The sequence below is a fragment of the Homo sapiens genome, chromosome 5 (genome assembly GCF_000001405.40).
Source record: "Homo sapiens chromosome 5, GRCh38.p14 Primary Assembly".
Classification (NCBI taxonomy): domain Eukaryota; kingdom Metazoa; phylum Chordata; class Mammalia; order Primates; family Hominidae; genus Homo; species Homo sapiens.
In genome coordinates this window covers 101,652,895-101,676,944 of record NC_000005.10, presented here as the reverse complement: position 1 = coordinate 101,676,944, position 24,050 = coordinate 101,652,895, and the positions used below count along the sequence as shown (strand labels likewise).

General features: G+C 34.2%; 1 long non-coding RNA gene across 3 annotated transcripts in view, besides 1 other annotated feature; it reads left to right on the top strand.

Moving 5' to 3' along the window:
- The window catches only part of LOC105379102 (uncharacterized), a 328,753-nt gene that overhangs the window by 177,391 nt on the left and 127,312 nt on the right, over positions 1 to 24,050 (top strand). The window lies entirely within an intron of this gene.
- Positions 17,572 to 18,072: an enhancer, noted in NCBI's record as "H3K27ac hESC enhancer chr5:100994577-100995077 (GRCh37/hg19 assembly coordinates)". NCBI's record gives its function as "activates a minimal SCP1, AML or CMV promoter by ChIP-STARR-seq in naive H9 embryonic stem cells {active_cell/tissue: H9 hESC(naive)}" and the evidence as "EXISTENCE:reporter gene assay evidence [ECO:0000049][PMID:30033119]".

Sequence of the window (24,050 nt, the reverse complement as noted above, 5' to 3'; positions counted from 1 at the left end):
AGGGCTATTCTGTAGTTTATAAGGTTTTGGCAGCATCCCTAGCCTCGCCCCACTGGATGCCAGTAGTTCCTCTCTAGTTATGACAAACAAACATGTTTCTAGACATTGCCAAATATACCCTCAGGGGTAAAATTTCCCCTGGTTGACAACTCCTGCCTTACGGGATGTGAGGATTAAATATGATATTTGTGAAGTGCTTAATATGTGGAAATAACTACTTATGCTCTCTTGGATATCATATCCACCTCTGATTTGAATTTGTATTTTGAATGCTGAGAATTAAACTACACAGAGCAGAAAGACAGGATCCAAGAGCCTGATGATCATTAGAAGGGATTTAAAGGGTCATTGAGCTGGAGTTAGGCATGAAAGCAATTTGAATAATATGTTTGGTGGCATATATTACAGTGTGACACTGAACATCTGAATCTCTAATGTCTCCATCAACCTCTCTTAATTAGGCAGACATGAGGGTAATGCATTTTTTATAAGGGGGTAAAATACTTAATTTAGGGACACAAAGAGCCATTTGGGCGTATAACATTAGCCAGTGGTAAACCTGGCAAACGTCTAAGAGTAATAACAACAAAAAAATACCCAGAGCCATCCAGGAGACTGTCTTCCTGAGAGAAATACATTTTGCAATCCAGGATCTGTTAGTCTTTCAGCAAGATCTTAAAAATGTTTCTCAAGAGAAGATTTCAGTTTTCAATTGTCTCTTCTCTGTTGTTGTTTTATTGTGTAATATGTAATATTTCATCGTGATTTACAATGTAGTATGTGAATTATTAGTTGAGAGATCCAGAAACCTGTACCCATATTCTCCCATGCAACTATAAATATTGCCTTGGAAATCTTTGTGGCAATACACTATATACTCTGGGTATTGCTCGATGTAGTGTGGACAGTTTTATAAATTAGCTTGAAAGGAAGAGGGTAGTAAATGTGAGTCATGGTACTGCATGCTGCTATAAACAAACTGGGGTGGGCCCAGTGACATTTTGAAGTCATTCAGAAGTGTTTTGTGAAGTCACCTGTCCTATTAGATGCATATTCTTATTAATGGTTTTTTTGCTTTTTATTTTTATTTTTTTTGAGAGGCGACAAAGAGGAGCTAGGAAAGGAGTAGAGGCAGGTGGGAGGAAGTATCAGGACTTGCAATTAAATTTATTAACTCAATTACCTAGGATACCAATAAAAGCTGTAATCATGAGGCCATCTAAAAGGCATTAGCTGTTTTACTGCTAATGGAGCCCTTGCCAACAGGAAATAGAACCAGATGCTCTTGGTGGGTGCCGGCAGCTGTTTGGTAGCACAGAATCAAATAGGTTGGGCTGTGATAGGGCATATGGACTAATGCCAAAAAACATTTTGTGTTCATAGAGTATCTCCATTCAAAAAATACCAATATATAGTTTGCAAAAATGAGTGCATGAATCCTTACAGGACCTCCCCTGGGGAGATAGCCATAAAGGTAGGATGATGATTTTTATGGATGAAAGGAAATATAAGCGGGAGCACATTGGGGTGTGCCTTCCCAAGCCATCTGTGATGGAATGAGCTGTAAAATCATAGCTGAGATATGCCCCAGGTTTTCCTTTTTCTTCCCAGCTTTCTAGGTGGGGATGCTCTAGAAGTTTTAGTGCCCACTTTAAACTGTCAACCTAACTAGCCAGTGAGCTGCTTGAGAGGGGACATCTATTCTACATTCTGAGATCTGGAATCACTTATTTTATGAACAATTATAGGTTGGCCCTTGAAATGCTAAGATATAAAGCATGGCATCTAAATATTTAGATCCTTTATTCATTTACTGTATATTTATTTAAATATGCTAAGTGCTAAACATTGGGTTGGAGAAATGAAGTCAATGAAAACACAAAGTTTTTTTGCACAGAGCCCTCAGGACAGCCTACAACAAGGGACATTAATAATATATTGAGGAAATTATGATAGATACATATAGTCTGGTACATTCATGGATGGTTAGGAGAGACTTCATGGCAGTCATGAGAAAAGCATGTCAAAGCTAGATGAGAAGGAAGAACAAGAAATATCGAGGTAAAGGGTGGAGAGAATAGACAATGCCATGTAGATGGCTGAGCATGTCAAAAGCCTGGTGGCAAAAAAGCATCTTCTGTTCCAAGAATAATAAATGAAGAAGTCAGAAGATAGGAAAGGAAGAGAAGGAAGGAAGGAGAATGGTGGAAGGTGAACTGGAGAATTATTCATAGGACTAAATTATTACAGGCACATGAAGAATTCAGATGGTGAGATCAGTTGGGGAGGACACCCAAAGGTTATTCTGCTGGCATTCTGGAAATGAATAAAATTGGAGACAAGAAGACTAACAAGTGGTGGCTGTAGTAATCCAGAAATGAGGTCATGAAAATCTGGTAGTGTGCAAGAAATAATGGAAGGTTTCAAGAAGTACATAGCAAATGGAATCTTCAAGACTTAGTGATTGTTGGATGAGATCTATTTCTGAGTCTCCCTTACTCTGGGGTGTAGCCATCAGGTCCTAATTCAAGGTGACTTGAGTGTTCCAAGGCCCTACATCTTGAACTACAATATTTCCCTGTAGCTCACTGCAGCTGGCAAACGCAGAGCCCAGATTCTGTCACACTTACAAATTCAGGAAAGGCATTTGCTTTCCATTTCTTGGAGATAGAAAGCTCCCTTTTGATAATTACCAGTTAAAATAGCCTTGCAGAATGTTCAAAAGCTTAACAGACTGTAACACCAATTTACAGCCCTAAAGAATTTCCACATGGTTTTCCTACATTGCAGTGATAGCTCTGATGGGGCAATGGAGAAGATAAATAAAGCCTGATTTTTTTTTGCCTCTGTTTTCTATAAGGCAAGCACTTCTACAAATGGTATATGGAAGTGCCCATCTTGTTATTCTCCTCTCAAAAGTACTGAGTACTACATTAGGATTAAAATTAAATAAAATTTTCCAATTCGGAAGATAGAGTGATTGATTTACTTGTCATTATTTTGTTAATGAATTGGTAATGAGTTGAAGTCGGATATTTTGAGTATCATCATACATCATATTGGGTTTGTTTTTTTTTGTGTTTGTTTGCTTTTGTTTTTTTTTTAGGCAGAGTCTCACCCAGGCTGGAGTGCAATGGTGTGATCTCAGTTCACTGCAACCTTCTCTGCCTCCTGGTTTAAAGCGATTCTCCTGCCTCAGCCTCCCGAGTAGCTGGAATTACAGGCACCCACGACCATGCCCGGCTAATTATTGTATTTTTAGTAGAGATGGGGTTTTGCCATGTTGGCCAGGCTGGTTTCAAACTCCTGACCTCAGGTGATCCACCCACCTCGGCCTCCCAAAGTGCTGGGACTACAAGGGTGAGCCACTGCGCCCAGCCCATATTGGTATTTTCTCCAATCATTATGTTCTTTTATTTGTGATGATTTCTACTTTTAAAATTTAATTTAAAAGTTTTACGGTGGCATACCTTAAAGTGAACTTTGCTGAATCATGCTGTTATAAAATTCTCTCCTAATAGAATATGACAAAGGTGGTGGAAGTATATTGCATTATATAATACTTCCCCTTAGCAAACTGGAGTGGGAGCTTCCCTGTCGCTTTGAAGTAAGCTGCCGTGTTGTAAGAGAGCCTCTTAGAGGAACACTTGGGAAGGAATTACTACTGGCATGTGGGAGCTGCGAGTAAAATCTAGCTAATACCCAGCAAGAAAATGGGAACTTATGTCCTACAATCAACTGGAACTGAATTCAGGTAGCAACTGTGTGGTCTGGGAAGAGCACCACGAGCTCCAGAACACAGCCAACATGACAACTCTATTGCAGCCTTGTTAGACTCTGAACTGAGGAGCTGCTTTATGCCTGGACTCCTAACCAGTAAAAACTGAGATAATAAATGGAAGTTGTATTAAGCTGCTGGTGGTGATTTGTTACACAGCAACAGATAACTAATACAGTTTTCATTGGATCAGATTTATTTTTGTGTGACTTTTCCACTGTTTAAATTCCATAGAAATGCTCTGCCCACATCAAGATCATTAAATAGTCTTCTAATAATGATGTGTGTTCAAGTTCAGATTGAATGCTGGACATTCACTAGGAAATAGGTTTAATAGGCTCTATGTTTCCAATTCATTCATTTATTTATTCTTTGAGTTATTCATTAAAAAAATTGACCTCAACATCAACTGTTTGCAAAGCACATGATGAATAAGCCACAGTTCTTGTTTTTGAGAGGTTGTAGTCTGGTGCAGATAGAGTCTGAACATAGACAAATATTTTCTCTGTAATAGGTGGAAAACTACAAAAGAGGCCTGTGCAAAAGTTAATAAGAATACGTAGAGAGAAATTTAATTTTTTTAAAGGATGATATAAAAAGTCTTCAAAGAAGAGATAATCCTGGCCTGCATCTTAAGATATGCAGATGAGATTATCAGGCAGAAAAGAAGACAGGAAGATATTTCAGAAGGAGAAAAAAAGATTTGCAGATACATCGAAACATTTGAAATAGGTTTCAGGCTCAATGAAGTTCGATCCATTTCTGGCTCTATCACTTTCGTCCTAGCACATAGCACTTTTCTTTGCCTAAGTGAGCTTTTAATATGCTCTGGATACATGAAAGAATGAATGCAAGCAATTGTGCAGGAAATAATGAGAAGTAGTTCAGGAACAGAAACTTTTTTGCTATGACTGGAGCACAAAATGGTCTGGTAATGGGATGTGAGAGGGAACGGGAATGGGAGGTAAAGGGCCTCGTTTATGTAGAACCCTCACACCTGACACCCATTCAGGTCTGAACGAAATGACTGGCCACTTTTATCTGATAACAGAGTGAAGTTTTGCTACTTTACACAAGAGCTTTTTAATGTGATAATGGTTAAAAAACTAAAACTCCTGATTTCTTTGGCTTTTTAAACTTTTGATTTCAATCTATTAATTGTTTTTTTTTCTGACGATAATCCAAACATATGATTAAGATGGTAGAGTTTTGAAAGCATTGGCAGGGATATATTAATGTATCTATGCTGTAGAAAAGAATGTGAAATTACTGTCCAAGCAGCAAGGTTATTTGTTACCTTGATTCCTGCACCGTGAAGCAGATTTTGTCCTTTCCAGGTCCTGTTGGTTTTCTCCATGCCAGCAAGGCTGATGACTGTCTCTATGTAAAACACTGACGATTTTCATGATCTCTCTTACCTCAGAGTCTTAGTGTGATGTAACTTGTTGCTGTATACTGCAAATGATGCCTATAAAATTTGGAGGCTGATTTCTGAAGTCATTAAAGTGCACCTTGTGATGTTATTTCTGATATTATTTCTCAAGAATAACTACCATAATTTATCATCTTCTCAACTCCCATAATCTGGAGTTGAGAAGCCTTTTCAGTTTAACACATTATGAAGAGAGAATTAAAAGGAGTTGGTGATAATATAATTTTCCCTTTCTATGCTGCTTTAGGAATTTAGTTGACAAAACATTTCCTATGTAGGGAAAATGCATTACTGAATAAAATTTCCAGGGATGCTTTCTGACCAGAACTACTCATAATGAGATAAGATTGCCTGGCTTAGATTGAGAAGAAAATAATATATCAGACAGAAACATAGATGAATACACACACACCATAAATATAGCAGCTTTGAAGAGATTTTGCTGAACTGGTATCATTTAAATAATCCAGTGATCATTTTTGCAGTCCTTCAGCACCCCAAGAAGCACTCCTGGGTCTTCAGCATTTGATGATAATAAAAATATGTTTGCATATCTGTGCTCATTATTGGAGGCATTCTACCATTGGGAAATGGTAGAAATTTTTTTTGAAAATTTTTTGAAATTCCCATAAAAATGCAATGATTCTGGAGCTGGCGTGGACATATGCATGAGACAACAAGTTAACAATCAATGCCTTCTTAGATGTAGCTGTGATGGTAGTCTCCTATTAATTCTAGCAGGAGGCCGTATTAACTCCTCATTAATAATTTCCCTTTCAATGAAATGACTTTCAAAATATAACAGGTCAGAAACGTATTTGTTTTTCCATATCATGTTTGGTAAATACCCCAGTTTTGAGTGTCTTTAACTCAGCGTTTTGGCAATGGATTTGCACTGGTGCTTTGTCTTCTTGTCGTTCTCTGATCCTACTATGAGGGTGTTTTCTCTTACTTGAGGAATTTATAGATGTATAATTGTTAATTGTATGATTATGAAGCCCCTGTTTCAATAACTTGCAAGTTTGTTCAGATGAGATTTTCTGGAAGTCAAGAAGGTCTGTGTGCAACGACATGAAAGACTTATTACTTGAATACAGATATGGCAACAGGGAATTATCTGGCTGTTTGCAAGTAATACTAAGTTCTGTGTATGCTTCATAAAAATCACCAACATAAGTTCCAACTCCACATAGTCATAAATGCCCATAGGATAGAAGCACACAATGTGAAAATAAGGGTGATTGGCTTGAGTTGCTTATGCTTTTGGTTCCTTGCCATAAATTTGTACATGTGTTGTTTGTGTGCATTAACTAGGGAATAAGGGGCAGCAAGTTCCCAAGAGTCAATAAAAAAATAGAAAATTTTAAAAATGATATATATTAAATTAAAATAATAATTAAAATTTTAATAATATTAAAATTAATGTCATAACACCATCCATATATCCTCCTAAAGAATGTTAAAATACCTCTAATATGTTATATTAGCCATGGTTTACCTCACTGCAGCTGCCACAGTTTCGAGTATGACAAATCTACTATTCTAATTTGACGAACTTCTGGAATATGTCATAATAACATACAAAGCAAGAAATGACTTCTATTTAATCTGGGTGAAGATAAATTCTGAGAAAAGGAGAAGACACAAAAGCTCATGGAGGAGAATATTAATTATTACACAAAATAATTACCTGTGAATTCTCTACTGAATAAAGTAAATAAGGCACAAAGCACTGTTGAAAACATCTGTCTCAGACTGAATCTGGGTAGGTAAATAGCACAGTTAAAGCTAATTTTTAAAATGAAAAACAAAAAAAGACAAATGAAGTTTAAAGATAAATTTTCTTAAGTAAAAAACTCTATAGGCTTCCAATACCTAGTAATGTTCTAAATGTCAAATAGATACTTGAATAATTGCTTGTCTAAAACATAAAAAGGAGATGACATATTAAACTATATTGACTTACATTTGCATCTTGACTATGACTTGGAGAATAGTATATATCTTTAGATATTTTTTATTATTGTTTTATAAACCAGCATTTTATGATTTAAACATCAGATTGAGAGTTGACTAGTTACCCTAGTTGTGCCACATTATACCATAAGTTCTATGAATCACTAAAAAATTCTTAACCTGACTTATTTAGTGTATCTGCCATTCTGTGGATTTGTTACATAAGGATGATTAATTATGTATTTACTACAGTCATATCCCAATTTACCTTAAGATTGCTGATATGTGTTTAGAAAAGTATTTATTATATTTGCATCTTTGCTTATTTAATAATGTGATCATTTTGCTGTTGTGCTGTCATGAGTTCTAAAATTTGCACTCAGTACTTATTTGTTTTGTTATGTGGAGATTAAATCTATTACTTCACATCTTCAACTATTGACTCTTAATTGGTATTTCATCTATAAGTTTAGTAACAAAATTAACATTTTTGTTAATAAGGTAAGAACTCTAACTTCATTAAATATTAATACTATAGCTGCTAAAGAAACATAGAAGAGTAATCTAGTTTTGAAAACTCAGGATTTTTTTCTTTTATTTCAATTAAAAGAAAAAGGATTAAAGAAACTTTGGTATGTATGTGGATCAAAAGTAATGGTCATAGATTTTAAACACATTTAAGGGTTTACTATAATATTAATCTCCTTTTCCCCACCAAATATTATATAAATCCATGAATTTTAATTTGTTAATCATCCACAGAAGAAGTAAGTAAACATTATCACTACATGACTTTTGTCTTTATTATTTTTTTAATATGAATTAGTCAAAAGCAAAAGCTACAAAATAAAGGACTAAAGATAAAAGTTTTTAATCGTTACGATTGTTCTAAAACAATACAAATGAAAGTGATCTCTTAACATCAAATATTTGTGTGCCAGAAAGCTATACAAGTGAGTTACATGATATGTGCATGTTTCAAGATATTATTACACCTAGAACAACTGCAATCTTCTGAAGGGATTTTTATGTTCACCTCTCCATGATCATGAGTGTTGGTTAGAAGAGTCTCTCTCTCTTTCTTTCTCTCTCTCCTTCCCCGCATTGCATCACAAAAACTCTGGAAATATATACATGCAGATTTGATGTGGTAATCAAAATAATATCTTTTAAAACCAAATTTATGTTTTATTGGTTTGGTTTTGCATTAATAATGATGGAAGCCAAAATTAAGTCTTTTAATATTCCATATCTTGCCCAATATTATTAGGATTTAATATTTGAATGGAGCTAAATTTATTTTTTCCATAGATGACTGAGTTGGTCATATATTACAGTGCAGTGAATAGTTCAGTGTCTACTTTTTTCTGAGTTTTAACATCCAGTCCAATTGACAAATAAGCCTCTTAGGAGTCTTCTTTTCACTATCTGAAGAATAAAGACGATTTCAAAACACATAGATTGTTTATTGGGGAAGTACTTGCCATGTGAATCTTAAACTGCTAAAAGATTAAAAGAGAATAAGGAGAATTAAAATCCAAGATTCTCTCCTGAAACAATAAGAATTTTTTAAAAAAAATCGATGGGTCTTCTGAAGTGAAGGAAGCTGTTTCATTTCTTGACTTCTCTTTCTAGGATATATATCAGTAGGGAATCTTAATTTCATTTTCACTGTTCCATAGAGGCCACTACCCCAAGGCATAATGGTTAAGGACTAGGACTAGAATTCAGGAAACAAGCTAGTGAATTCTGATCCAACTCTGTTTTCAAAATTACATTTAGAGATCATATGTCTGGAGTTTTTATTTTGCATAATCATAATATAAATTGATTATGCCATGGTGTCATATATATCAGTATACTATTTAATGTGCCTACCATTTTCATAGCTGGTTTGATAATTTATTGAATAAACATAGAAAACTTTGTGCTATATATACAAAGAATTATTTTTGCCACTACAGTAATTAATGTAATGTCTTTATAGTCTTTGTTTTGCTACTACTAAGGACCTGTATTAAAAAGTAAAATTCTTAAACCCCTGTGGTTGATTATGATGTAATGAACCAAATTTACTCATGCATTCCTCTGACCATTACCTTGGGTATTCCCTTCCTAAATTGAATCTTGACTTGGCCATGTGGTTTGTTTTAGCATTTTGGACAAGGGGTTGATATCAAACATGACAAAGGAGCAGAGATTTGAAAAGCGCTTCTCTAATGCTGCTCCCTGTATAGCTTGTCTTCTTTGGTGACTTGGGAAAATATTTCACCTTTAGATTCGTCCTCCATTAACTTCAAATTATTCAATCTCTCCTTTTCTAGCAATCTAATTCTAAATCTAATTCTAAGGGTGACTTTGTGGTAAGAGAAGTTTCTAGTAAAGCCTGTCAATATCTTCACAAAAGAAGGTCAATGTGATGATATACAAGCAGATGCTGTTTTTTCTTAAAAATTATTCTTAATGATGAGGATGCTCCTCATTAATAAGATTATAGAGACAACTCATTTGCATAACCATAGTAAAAGGGAGCTAAAGAGGGCAGCTCTTCATCTTCATGTGTGAGAAAAATTGAAAATAGCAATATGCTCAATAGGCTATGTGCATGTTCTAATCACAGGGCTCTGCATGTCACTTTTAAAATTAACATATAAATAGATGCTATTTTAATCTCTCTCTTTGAATGAATTATCACACATCAACTAGATATTTCAGTTAATGAGATAGCATTGCATAATATTATAGAAAATGGGTATCTCTATTAGGACTCTTGAAAATTGGAGGAAATGATGAAGAGTGTGGCAGATGTCTTCTTCAAAGAATTGTTTGACATACATGCAAATCCACCCTGAACTGAAGTGCCTTGGGAAATGGGAAATGAGCCAGAATGGTGTGAGTGATAGAGTTGTGTACGCATTACCCATTATATAAAGATTTGTTTATTTTATTTATTTATTTATTTATTTATTTATTTATTTAGAGATGAAGTTTTGCTTTTGTTGCCCAGGCTGGCACGCAATGGCACAATCTCGGCTCACTGTAACCTCTGTGTCCCGGGTTCAAGAGATTCCCCTGCCTCAGCCTCCCAAGTAGCTGGGATTACAGGCACCCACCACCACACCCCGCTAATTTTTGTATTTTTAGTGGAGATGGAGTTTCACCATGTTGACCATGCTAGTCTTGAACTCCTGACCTCGGGTGATCCACCTCGGCCTCCCAAAGTGCTGGGATTACAGGTGTGATCCACTGTGCCCTGCCCTGCTTATTGTTTTTTAAAAGTTTAATGGGATTTATTTTACGATAGATTTTAGGCAATGTCATTTCCTTTGAAGACAAGACTGTATTTGACAGCAAGGGACAGAAGTTATGTACGGTCATTATTATTTACAAAATATGATAAACTAAGTCATTGCTATCTCTTTTTGAAAAACAACTGGTTAAATGTTCTGTCTAATAAATATCATAAAACAAGTAATATAATTTCATGGGATATACATTATATATAATAGAAGCATACTCCAGGGAATTTAAAAAAATTTAATTTTTAATCAAAGGAAAAATTATTTTTCCTGGTCAACAAAAATAATGTAATATGCAGCAAAAGTTTTGTGCTAAACAGTGAAGAGAAACAGGATGGCATGTCGTTACCTCAATAAAATCAGAACATTTAATTAAAGCAATATTTCTACATTAATTATATAGCTATTTTGAGTAGAAGCATACTTTTATGCAGCTCAATCATATATATTAAACATGTAATTTTATATTTAAGTTCCTTATGACTTTATAATAGAATAATATTTTATTTCATAGCAATACCTGCATGTAGATGCTTTCAACAAATGTGGGTACTATATATCCTAGATTTAAAAAGATAACTCCAGTTTCAAATAATACTTCTCTGCATCTATCAATGAGTCATATCACTTTAGTATTTGCCAATATTGATGAATTTGCTTAATAAATGTTCCGTAATGGAAGTCTTATCAGTAGCATATGAAATTTAAAAAAATAATGAGGTGATATACTGAAGACCTCTTTATAATCACGTCAGCTTTTGTAGGTCCTGTTAGAACCACAAATCCTTCAGTGGTTAACTGAATGCAATGAAGTGGGTATAGTTTTAATTAATATTATCGGACTCTATGATGTTGACATATCTGTAGTTCTAGTTACATTTTTAATCTTGAAGTATTCTTTTAAAAAAGAACACTGTGAAATTTCTTAATTACTATCTAGATTTGATTCAGATTTCAGTAACTATAAATGTTTTGCCATCACTTCTAAAGGCAACAGACTCACTGAATTTTATTGTATAAAGCTATTTTTTCAATGTCAGTGCCTAATTTTCCACATGAGACTGAATAGCACAAGTTTTCATTTAAAAGACTTTCAATATTTTTTCATTAGTATATGTTGGTCCAATTTTTAACTTGTTGCTTGCTAATTAAATTTTATGAGATTGGATTGGATTATAGTTAAGAGTGCTTCTGACAGAGGTATTTTGATTCTAGGTTGATATATTTTTAAGTTCTATAACAAGAATTGTGGTGATTTAAAATATTTACTCATATAAACATTTTTATTCCATCTAAGACAATTTCCCTGCTGTTTTCATATATTATGCTTTCTCCTGTAATCGTTTCTCTTCTTGCAACAATTTTCAGCTCTACATCTGTCAAGTAATTATTTTTCCTTTTTTGTTCCAAAAACACTTCACTCTTCATCCTCCATAATAACTCTATATAAATATTTGCATATATTAAATATTTGATATATTTAGTCACAGCATTAAATTTGTATTTGTTTCTCCTTCTTTTCCTGTCATTAATCTAAATATGCAGAAAGAAAAAAGAAAACATTGGAGTAGACTTCTATTATCCCATCAAAAAATACTAAAGCATCATCACTTTAGTTGGTTGAATCAAAAGACATTATAGCAATATAAATTGTTATATATTAATACCATGTTCACAACACACATATGGGTCAAATAATATCGTTGCCTGTATGAGGTGTTAACGCAAACTAAATATGGCCTGAGGACTCAGTACTTGTATATTTGAATCCTTATGGATGAACTACAACCTAACGTAATAGGTAGACAAGACTGAGAACCTAATTGGGAGTGTGTGCCTGTAACAGTGGCTGGGTCTTGGCCAATCCCTGCAGCCATACTTCAACCACTCATACGTTGTCGAGTGTTCAAATGGTGTTTAAATAAGGCAAACGCTGAGCTGTAACCAAGTCAGTTGTTTCTGTGTGTCACTTCTGATTTCTGTATGTCACTTCTTGTTTTTCGTCTATAAATCTTCTTCCATCACGTGGCTGTGCTGGTCTCTCTGAATTTGCTGTGATTCTGGGGGCTGCCAAATTTGCAAATCGTTCATTGCTCAATTAAACTCCTTTAAATTTAATTCAAGTGAAGTTTTTCTTTAACAGAGGAAAGAGTAAAAAAGTGCTTGCACAATTTTCTAAAGATCACAGTCTTGAGACTGCTCTGAACCACCACCCTGTGATAAGTAAAGTTCAGCCTATTTATCCAGCAGAAATGTTTCCCAAGGTTTATTTCCCAGATATTGTTAATTCACTGCACCAGACTTATTAAAGATTATTGTTGCAAGTTTCTCATTTCTCATAGTTGTTTTCTTAATATGTGAAAAATACATTATCTTTGAAAACTGACACATGAATGATTCCTAAATTAAATAATATTTAGATAACTTCACAATATTACTTTCAATAATAGGTAACAGTTTATGTGTAAAGTCAAAACACATTTATATTAATGTTAAACTACCTACATGTCAGATATATTTTAAAAAGTGAAAACAAACCAGATTCTCAGTATTTTACAGCAGGGTTTATTATACAGTAAATTGATATAAAGGAGGGTGGAAATTGTGTTCAGAAAATTTACTGTCTATTTGACTCACTCATTCAGATACTCATCTACAAGTCAACATACCTAGGAACTAAGTAAATTTTACTTGACCTTACTCAGCAAGGGCTTCCTTCACTGAACCTTCACACGCACATAGATCTTTGATTCCCTTTTCCTGACTTCATAAATGCATGCAGCCAACTGCTATGAGCTCCTATGGGAAAGGTCACAATAAGCTCTCTCTTTTTAGTTTCTGTGTATTTATATATTTTCTTCTCCCTTCTTTTAGCTCTTTCTTCCCGATTCTTTTTGAACTTCTGCTTTCTCCAGGAACATGTCAGAACCAGTTCCACATGTGTCTTCAGCCCCTAGCAAGGAAGTATAGCACAAATCATTTAAAAATTTGCAAGGATGATCTGGAGAGAAAAATAATAAGTTCATTTTTTTTAGTGAACCTAGTTATCTTAGCTCTTTATTACATTGTCATAGTAGTTTAATAGTTGCAAAATACTATAGTATATTTTAAACAGGACATATTGGAAAAAGTTTAACATGAACCACAAGATCTTTGGTGTGTATTTATTCCTGTACATGTGTACACAAACAAGTGACAAATCCTAGGCAGAGAAATCTAAAGGTGATCTAGTAGATGTGTTTCTAAAATCATGGAGCTTATTTTTGAGTCTTGTACTGAAGTGTATCATGATTTACAATTCACTGGAGTCTGCAGCAGTGCTCTATAAATACTTCATGAAATATTCTATTGAAAGTATTAGCATTTTGAGATACAACAGAAATTATTTATATGCCTTTGCTTTTGGAAAACAATTTTTGTCAGTATATACGAAGACATGAAAAACTTAGGTTTTGTTTATAGTTGGGAAATCTTGTTTTAGAATTTACTGTAAGCTGAGGCTTTGCATGTTGAGATTCTGCCTTCATTGCAATAGAAGCAAATTCTTATACATATCCATGGAGATATAAATATGTATATATATTTCTCAAACATATCCACATACATATGGATTAGCATCATTAAGAAATGCTGCATATTTTGCAAATTTGAATTTAAGGTATTTTAATACAAATATTTAATATTTTTAGAAGCATTAGCTTTTTCCTATGGGTAACAAACACATTTTCTTTCTTCATCCAAACTTCAGGAAAGAAAGAAGAAAGCCAGCCTACAAAAGTTTGGGTAAGAATAAAAACTGTCATTACAAATAAACATAAAGGACACACTTTGAATATTTAATTTCTAATATAATTTAAAAATAAATATTTATATGTAATGTCTAGAAATAGATGTTTTCCCATTTCTGTCCAGTCTTTATTCCCTAAACCCATTGTATTTTTCAGTTATCAGCAATTTGGGGTAATTACATCTAGTCATCAATTTAGAGAGAATAAGATGAGGAAAGAGGTCTGTTTTGTTCAGTAAACACCTATCAAACTGTTGCTTCAGGCTAAGCAATAGGCTTAGTGCCAAGTGTACAAAAATGAAATACCATGTGGCCCCTGCCATGGACTACTTCTAATTTAGTAAGTAGGGGAAAAATGCCTACATCATAATAAAAATGTTCAGAAGTAGTTGTGACAGATTAACAAAGTGGTGTTATAGACAATACAGAGGAATGACTACTTTTAAACAGAGAATTAGAAATTATGAAATTAAGTTGATAATACTAGCATCCAGAAATTTCTAAAATGAGACTAATTTAAAGGTCTAGGGCAAAGATAATTCTCTCCATGGTAGCAGAGTAAACATAAATCACCTTTTTATCTAACTTATTGTATTATTTTAATATGTATTCTATTAGGCTTTTTTTCTAATTCTAAGGAGCTGTGGAAATGACACAAAAGAGAATATGCTCTATATATTCTTGATATGTTAGTGATTTAATGTTGAATTTGTAATCACCTTCATAGTTTGATACATTATGTTTAAAAAGTTCTATAACAAAATTTTTCTGTATTGTGGTTAATATTCACCACTTTAATTCCCTCTTGTATCCAGATAATACTCTGAAGTGCTCTATATGCACTTAACAAAAATTAAAAGTATGCCTTTAAGTCTAAAATAAATGTCTGAAGATACTAAAGAATAGTCCACTTTTCCTTCTCTTCTTTCAGACCATACTAAAGAATAGTCCACTTTTCCTTCTCTTCTTTCAGACTATTTCATAGAAGAGAAGATCATTGAATAGACATCTATATATTCAGATGCCCTGATCCCTGCATGACTGTTATCCTTCAAGGTAGATTTGATACTTGAGGGAATCATTGGTTTGTTTATTTGCTTGAAATTGATATGTATACTATTATGTAGAGAGAATGTCTGTGCTAGCTTCATCCTGTCAGTCTGTGGACAAGAAAAAATCACATTCTAATTATTTGTTAAAAAACAAGCAAATATGAAACTAAAATTTTAAAAAAAATGAATAACCAACAAAACACCCTCCTATTTCAGATTTTTTGTTTTTGTTTTTTTGCATAGGCTAACTTTCTTGGATTAATAGCATATAGATTGAGAACAGTTTATGAATTTATTTAAATCCTGTATTCATGGCCCTTATAAAAATTAAATCGTGATATCTTTATTTGAGAGAGTGGCAGATAACGATTTCTCAAAAACAAACTTTCTGTGGAACACGGCTTATCTCTTTTTTATGAAGGACCGGAATATTTGAAATTCCAAACTCTTTTGATGGTTGAATCAGTGATGTGGAAATCTCTGCACAAAAGAACCATATCAGAACCAAGAACCATGACTGATAAACTATGTTGATCCACTTACATGGGAGACTTGAGCAAAGTGCCTATAATATTTCAGAGTCTTCTGTAGGAATTATAAGTAATATATGACCAAAGACAATGAAGAAACTTAGATATCATCAAGGCTTGGTGCTTACAATTTACTTACTTATGTACTTATTTATGATTTGGTGTCTATGGAGGTGTTTGAAACACAATTTTGGTGGTTGGGATTTAGAGTAGTCTACTGAGAAGTGATCATGAATGTGGGATAAGGTTAAGAATGAGCAATCTCAGGCACATGGCCATGCTTGGGTAACTTACTTAGTAGTTCTGTTACCAAATTTCTATTTCATTCCTACAAAAATATCTTCTAAACCAGTGGGAATTTACATTTTTCATGTAAGATAACGAAGCCAGTGAACATGCTTACAGTGGTCTTTAGAATTGGTGCTAACAGCTGTGATTTAGGGAAACAGTCAGCATTTAAATGGGGAAAATTAAAACATAAAATAACTTGTTGTCACATAAATTATTTTTATGATGTACTACTGTAGCTATGTTATGCATGGGCATGTTCTCATTTAAAGTTGGGTTGCTTGAATATTGTTTATGCCTTGAAAATATGCATGCTTTTTTGCTTTAAAAAGATCCTAAATGCTTTTTGCATATTCTATAAGCACATCCTACAGAGCTTTTAATAAAACACTGACTTAAAGGTTAGGAGAGTCACTATAAATTTGTGACTTTGTCCCACTCTCTTCTGCTCTTCTGCTTCATGGCCTCTAGGCATTTAATTTGTAAGAACAGATAATGAGGAATGGTAAATGACTGTCTATACCAGACTGATTCAGAGGCACAGTAATATAATACTGGCACATGCTTAATGTTACTGCTGTTGAACAACAATATAGTTATGAGGAACATTATTTTCCTCATAACTGTATTTTTCTTACCATGGCAACTTTAGAACTTCTCTCATGTAACATAATTTGTCAATATATACCCAATTAAAATTCTAGTTGCCTTGTTTTATGTTTTCTAGATAGGCAGCTATTGGATCAAAACCACAATATGGCTAAACCTGGCTGTACTATGTTCTAATCAAAGAGGCCAATTGAACAGTCAATTAGAAGAAAAAAAGTAGCTTCATTAACAATGGTTTTTAGGTGCAGAGTATTGTAGGTGTGTTTAAAATGGTGTTGAGTTGTTTAAAAATATCTCTACTTTAAGTATGAATTATGAAATAAAATTGTGTGAGTTATTGATATCTTGAGATAATGGTTTAGGGATTAAAGTACAAAAGGCTTGTTGAAAACAAACCTTCCATATTTTCCGGTTGGCTAAGTCTCACGTATGGTTTAAGTTGTTCTCTGCTATTCTCTCTCTCTCTCTCGCTCTGCCTTTTTCTCTGTCTTGAATATGTAAATTTAATGTATGGATGCTGAGTCTTAAAAATTATAAGACCTTCTCATTTAGCCTAAGCCTTTTTCACCATCAAGAATTCTTTAGACACAGTCACAAAATTGGCAATATGAGGCTTGCGAGATGCATGAAGCAAAAGCTTTGTTTTTTCAGTCCTCACCCCCTTTTAAAAATTACCTTGGTATAAATATTGCATTGCCAAGAAAAGTCTACTTTTACCCTTCCAAGTTCACCATGCTTTCCTCTTCTATGGTAACACCCATTACAATCTGTCCACATGTCTCTTGTACTTTCCACATTATGAAGTGATAACATCACCCCATTTTAGGTGCACAACCACCCTTGTGCCTGGTAAAAGGGCAGCATCTCTGTGTTGTAGATGCAGAGGCTCATGTCCAGAATGGCTAGTGAGTGGTAGCACTGAAACTAGAACCCGTATCTAGTAAACAATTTCAGCGCTCTTCACATTTTGGCTGCACAGCCCATCACCCTCACACTGTGCACGTGCCAATCCTAGACTTTTAAAACGGGAATTGTTCTAGCATCACTTAACTAGTCTCACTGCCTCTTCTTATGATTATGCCCCATTTCTGAAAGTTGAAAAGTGTTCTCTTTCAGGGAGAGATGGCCCCTGTGGATGCATTACATGTGTAGCAAAAAGTTGTGTGAGGCCAGGTGTGGTGTCTCACGCCTGTAATCCCAGCACTTTGGGAGGTGGAGAGGGGATCACCCAAGGTCAGGAATTACAGACTAGCCTGGCTAGCATGGCAAAAGCCCGTCTCTACTAAAAATACAAAAATTAGCCAGGCACGTGGCAGGCACCTGTAATCCCAGCTACTCGGGAGTCGGAGACAGGAGAATCACTTGAACTCAGGAGGTAGAGATTGCAGTGAGCCAAGATCGAGCCACTGCACTCCAGCCTGAGTGACAGAGTGAGATTCCATCTAAAAAAAAAAAAAAAAAAGTTGTGTGGGTGTGTGGGTACGTCTGTGTGTATGTGGAGGTAGTGTACAAAAAAATGCAGCTGTGTCTTGGTGAGCAATGACTCAGCCTGTTAGTGGCGCAGTCAGGACAAGTAAGAGAGTGCATTGTCCTCCGACTCAGCCTCAAGGACAGGGGCTTCCTTTCCCATTGCTGACCACCCCCAGCATTTCCATTACACTCAGCACTTCTCTGCGTCCTATCACACTCAGCTTCGAAAGTTACTCAGATTTCGTTTTCAACACTTGGCCAAAATATAAATAAAATGTTTCTCAATGCCTGCATTACACTCTTGTCAGTAGTATTTTCAGGTATTTTGATCCCTTTTATATCTGCTTTTTCATTTTGTAAAGCTAAAATTATTTTTGAAAATATAAATAAACAGATACATAAGCAAAATGCAACATTTTCTGAAGTTAGAAAAATATAATTTTACCATGATGAGATTCCTACAGATAGAAATTGAGGATCAAAGATAAGACATAAATTATGGGTATGGATACTCCTTGGGGTTCAGCAATTGAATTTTTCTTAAACAAATTATACCCTTTCAATTTCCTATTTCCTTTTTCTTTGTGCATCTTTGATGTTTTAAAAGATTTAGTGTAATTCTATGGATTTGGAAAACAACATAATTGATGTGTTATTTGTATAAACAAATTTGCATTAATGCAAAGTTAGAAATACGTTACAAGTGAGTTTGATTTCTAAAATTTGCTTTCTCAGATGTGACTGGTAATTGCTCACAAGGAGTAACTCACTATTTCCTCTTTCAAGAGACTTATGACAGTTGAGCAGCAATCAGGAATGAATAAACCCAAGGGGGGTGAACAATATTACATACCCCAACAGAAAATAATTGCAACATTTATTTCTCAGATCTGTGGTAAAGCTTATGAACAGATTCTCTTAAACTTTGTTACAACTTGTGCTGCAATATGGATTCTATAAAAATGAAATACAACAACTCAGTTTTGCTAAATTACATGTATACTTTAAATTTTTAAGTCAAACTGCTTTGATTATAAAGTCAATATAAAACTGAAACAAACAAATGCCTAAGAATACATCAAATATGTCCATGTATCATTCAGCAGCTGTGCTTCAAGGATACAACAGTGTTTTTTCAAGTCCCTGGTTTTGGGAGGCAAGACAACTTTCTAGCTTTGAAAATTATGCAATTTTGGTATTTGGCATCAACTTCTCCTTGTGCACTTCAAATGATTCTCAAAAATAATTTAAAAAATAAACAAGCAAAGGTAAAGCAGTACTTATACAGATAAATTATATAATAGCTCTTGGTATTCTACAATCAGGCATTAAAATAGAATAAATAAAGGCACGTGCTTTCCAAGATTTTTGAAATGGTTTATTTCATCATCGCCAACCCTATGTTTGGTAAAAAATAGTTGAAGGTATTACCATTTTGTTTTAGTGTTTTTCTAGAATCCTGAGTTTTGTGACTTAACATAAAAAGCTTCAACGATGGGCAGTATTCGTTTTTTCACTTTAGCAGTCTACAAGATAACATCAATGTTAGGTCAGTAGGAAGTAAACAGATTCATTGGAAGCCAACATGAATGCTATTAATTAGAAGATTAACTGTGTTTTTAAAAAATCTATATATTCCATCTGATATATATTATATACAATATATATTTATATACATACAATTTAAATATATATAATTTTAACCACTGTTTTTGTCAAAGTAGGCTAATTGCCATAACAATCTATCGCATAAGAAACCTAACATAATACAATTTTATTTTATTTGCCTAAGTAATTACCAATCACAGATATTCCTAGTTGAGCAGCTCCCCTTCAGATTGTCATTTTGTGTCTTGGGCTCCATTCATTTTGGTTCTTTCCTTCTTTAAAATCAGAAAGTTCTTTATTAAATGGGCAACAAGCAACCTAAAGTATTAAGAGTAGGTAGAATGAGAACTGAAACTTTAACCAACAAATATGTTTCCTTGTAAGAAATATAGGGGCAGAGAAGAGCAGGCAGAAAGCCTCAGGGTTCCTACTTTTGAGGGTTGCTCCATGTGACTACTGCTACCATTTGATTCTAACCATTCTAATCTCTTTAATTTGTCTTGTTCTATTCCCAGCAGCCCTCTTATGCTCCACTAGTCTTTCTCAGGAAACTTTCCTCCTTTTCCCAAGACAAAGAACCTCCTCTCTCTTTCCATCTTGAAAATGCTGATATAACAAACTGTTTTCCTCTTTCTCCAAGGGCAAACAAACATTCGCTTTAAACAGATTACTATTCTTCGAGAATAAGACTGGTTGAGTTACAAAAATGTAAATATATTCATTTTATTAACATAGTTTTTACTTGTTCTTTGTGAAAATCAATCCTGGTATCATTGTACTGAGAATGAGCTGATGCTTTGATTAGAAGAGTCTCACTACATAGGTCTCCACATTAGAGGCAAATGCTTTTTAGTAATTTGCAGTAGATGACACATGACACCAACTACAAATTTTATCTTATATCCCTTATATTTATACCTTGCTATAAAGGGGATGGGAATCTCCATTTTGTCACATTAGAAAAACCTAAAAATTGACCACTCTGTACAACTGTATGAAGATTGAAAGCTGATTATTAGTTCTTGTGTACTGGGACAGATTAAGTATGTAGAGGACACATGCCAGAACTTTCACAAAGCCTTGATATTATTTCAGAAAACTGCCAAATGTATTTCTTTAAAAACTAAATGCATGTGATTATTTAGTAATATAGTCTGCATGTTAACTAAAGTAAAGGATATGCTGTCTAACTTATGAAATATTCACTTACATGCTAATTTAATTGAAAAAGCTCAAAATTTGACCTTATGAATTGCATTTAAGAGATAATTTTGTTGCCAGGCATGGTGGCTTACGCCTGTAATCCCAGCATTTTGGGAGGCCGAGGCGGGTGGATCACCTGAGGTCAGGAGTTGGAGACCAGCCTGGTCAACATGACAAAACCCGTCTCTACTAAAAATACAAAAATTAGCCGAGCATGGTGGTGGGAACGTGTAATCCCAGCTACTTGGGAGGCTGAGGCAGAAGAATCGCTTGAACCTGGGAGGCAAAAGTTGCAGTGAGCTGAGATGTGCCATTGCACTCCAGCCTGAGCAACAAGAATGAAACTGTCCAAAAAACAAACAAACAAAAAAAGGTAATTTAGGATCACCTCTAGTACTTTTAATCAGACTCAACTGCCTACCTCAAAACATCAACAGCATTCTTACCACTGTAAGAGAAACATGATGGTGCTGATGGTGGTGATGGTAGCAGTAGAAATGGGAGAAGAATATTTTAATTAATTATTTAAAAATTAAAATGCAATTGTTTAATATAACAGTACAGGATTTAAAAATGTCTGCAGATATAAAAACTTCAAGCAGCTCAGCCACTAAAACAATTACCAAAATATAAACATTTCAAAGGTTGACATTCTTATAAATATAAGATGATTTTCAAATTGATATGCAACATGTATTTCTCACACAATACACAGGCTAAGTATTTATAGTACCTTTTTTGCTCTTTATCAAAACATTTGCTCAAAGACTAACACTTTCCGAAATGCAGATTAATCATCATTATTACTTTAAATGACTTGCAAAAATAATATTTTTTATGTCTGCATTGTATTCTTCTCTTCACTACTAACAAATTGACAAGAGAGTTTACCAAACCGAGGTTATCTTACTACATGTACCCAAGAGATTTTTATTTATAATTCTGTTATTACTATTCAAGGAACTTAATAAAAATTGCCGTAGGATCAATACTACATTACTCTCCTAATTTTAGCTTGCACTATAAGCCTTCTGCACATATTATTCTCCTAATTTTAGCTTGCACTATAGCCTTCACAAACTTCATGAGACAATAGATCACTTTATAGTTAAAATATTGAATATATGAATTATCAGGAAGTGTTTTTGTTTGTTTTACCCTTACTTTACTCAAGGTCATACATCTAAAGTTTTTAGGATACTCTATGAATTAGCATATCCTAAAATCTTATTCTATTTAATTAAAGACCTGGGTTTATAAATAAGGTTAAGTTTAGATCAGGCCAGTGTGTCTTGAATTCATTGCCACCTTCGATATCAGCTCTAACTTTCCTACTTTAAACATTGCACATCTTGCACATGCATTATCACAATGATTTCCCAAATGGCTCCCTTGTCCTTCTCTACTAAAAATATCTCCTCTAAAAAATCTTTCTAAAAAGCCGATGAGATCATCTGATTATGTCCCCTCTCTGCATCTGATTTTGCCACTCCTTTTGGTGCCTGTAAAACATGGACACTTCTTTATTATTCTTTGCTTTCTTTATAATCTCCACGATCTGGACCTTATCTACTTCTGCTTTTCTAAATATCTATCTTCTCACCTCTCCTGCTACATCCCTGACATAGCACATTTCTGGCAGTTTCTTAAGATGTACAAGTGTGTCACATCTTTTATATTTGTTGATCCCTGTGCCTAGGGCACTTTTATTTGTCTGGTAATATTTTGATTACGCACTGATGCCCAGTTTAACTGTCTCCTCCACTGATTTGCTGCACCTTCTTTGAGTCATCTTTGCAAACATGTGCCTCTCTATAGTAGCATTACTATATTATAATTATCTCTTAACATGTCTAGTGCCTCCACTAGTCTGTGTTTCCTTAAGGATTGAAGAGTGGTGCATTTATTTCTGTGCCATGACTGCATAGACATGCAACCTGGCATACAGTAGGTGCTTTTTTAAAGTTTGGTGAATAAATGAATATTGCTGGAACAGCATTTAGTTCTGATGGCTGGCTCACTCATGGCCATCACATTTGTAGACATCACATTTACTTTGAGCCTGAATAAGAAGAAATCTGAATTAAAACTGCATTTTCTGGCATGATTCAAAGAGGACATATAATAGTCCAGAAAAGTTTTTAATGAATGAATATTCACAGTAAGAGCTCTGCTTCCAAAATGCAAAAAAGAGAAGAAATAACAATAAAAGCTCAGTATACTAAAATTTGATAATGTACAGTTTGTGTTATTCAGCTGATATTTATGATTTTAGGCTTCTGTTCAGATTTAATTTCATGTTTTCTGGCAAAAATATTCATTAAAGACATCTGTGCTCTTCAAATGCAAGTACTATTTGTATTTTTAGCTTGGCATTGGTATCTGTATGAAATAGAGGATTTGTGTAATATATCTGAATTAGTCTATTAAAATAAAAAGTGTATGTGATCTGTGGGTGTGGCTTGTAGGTTGGGAGGATTTACTGGTACTGCAATGTCAGATGTATGTGAAAACTTTTGTTATTGAGGAAATTAAATTGTACCTATGCTATATTTTTAATGTAAGTGTTAAATTATACATCATTTTCACAACTAGTTTAGTGTCTATGGTTTAATTAATGTCTTCAATATTTATTTCAGAGTTTTTATCACTAACCATGCTAGAGGTTAAGGTAAATTGTTTTTAGGTTTGCTGGATGAAGTTTTTGCGCTGGCAGTTACCATATCCTCAAGAGGAGTGGGAGCCGTATGCTTATGATGATGGTTTTTATCAGGTACATTTCTGTTGTTTTTCACTTCACAGAAAGCTTTTGTTTGCAGTAGTACAAAAGGCTTCTTCAATGTTTTTTATTCCTTTTTGTTTTTAATATCAGTGGAGTGCTTATGTTCCTGTTTTCTTATGAGTCATTAAAATAGGAAGGGTTTTTAAAGTCACACTTTCCTATGTCCACAGATAATGAAAAAGATTTAAAGTTTGAAGCTGATAATACGTGAACAGATTTATTATAAAAGGCCATATTATGCTGCTGATATTTCCCA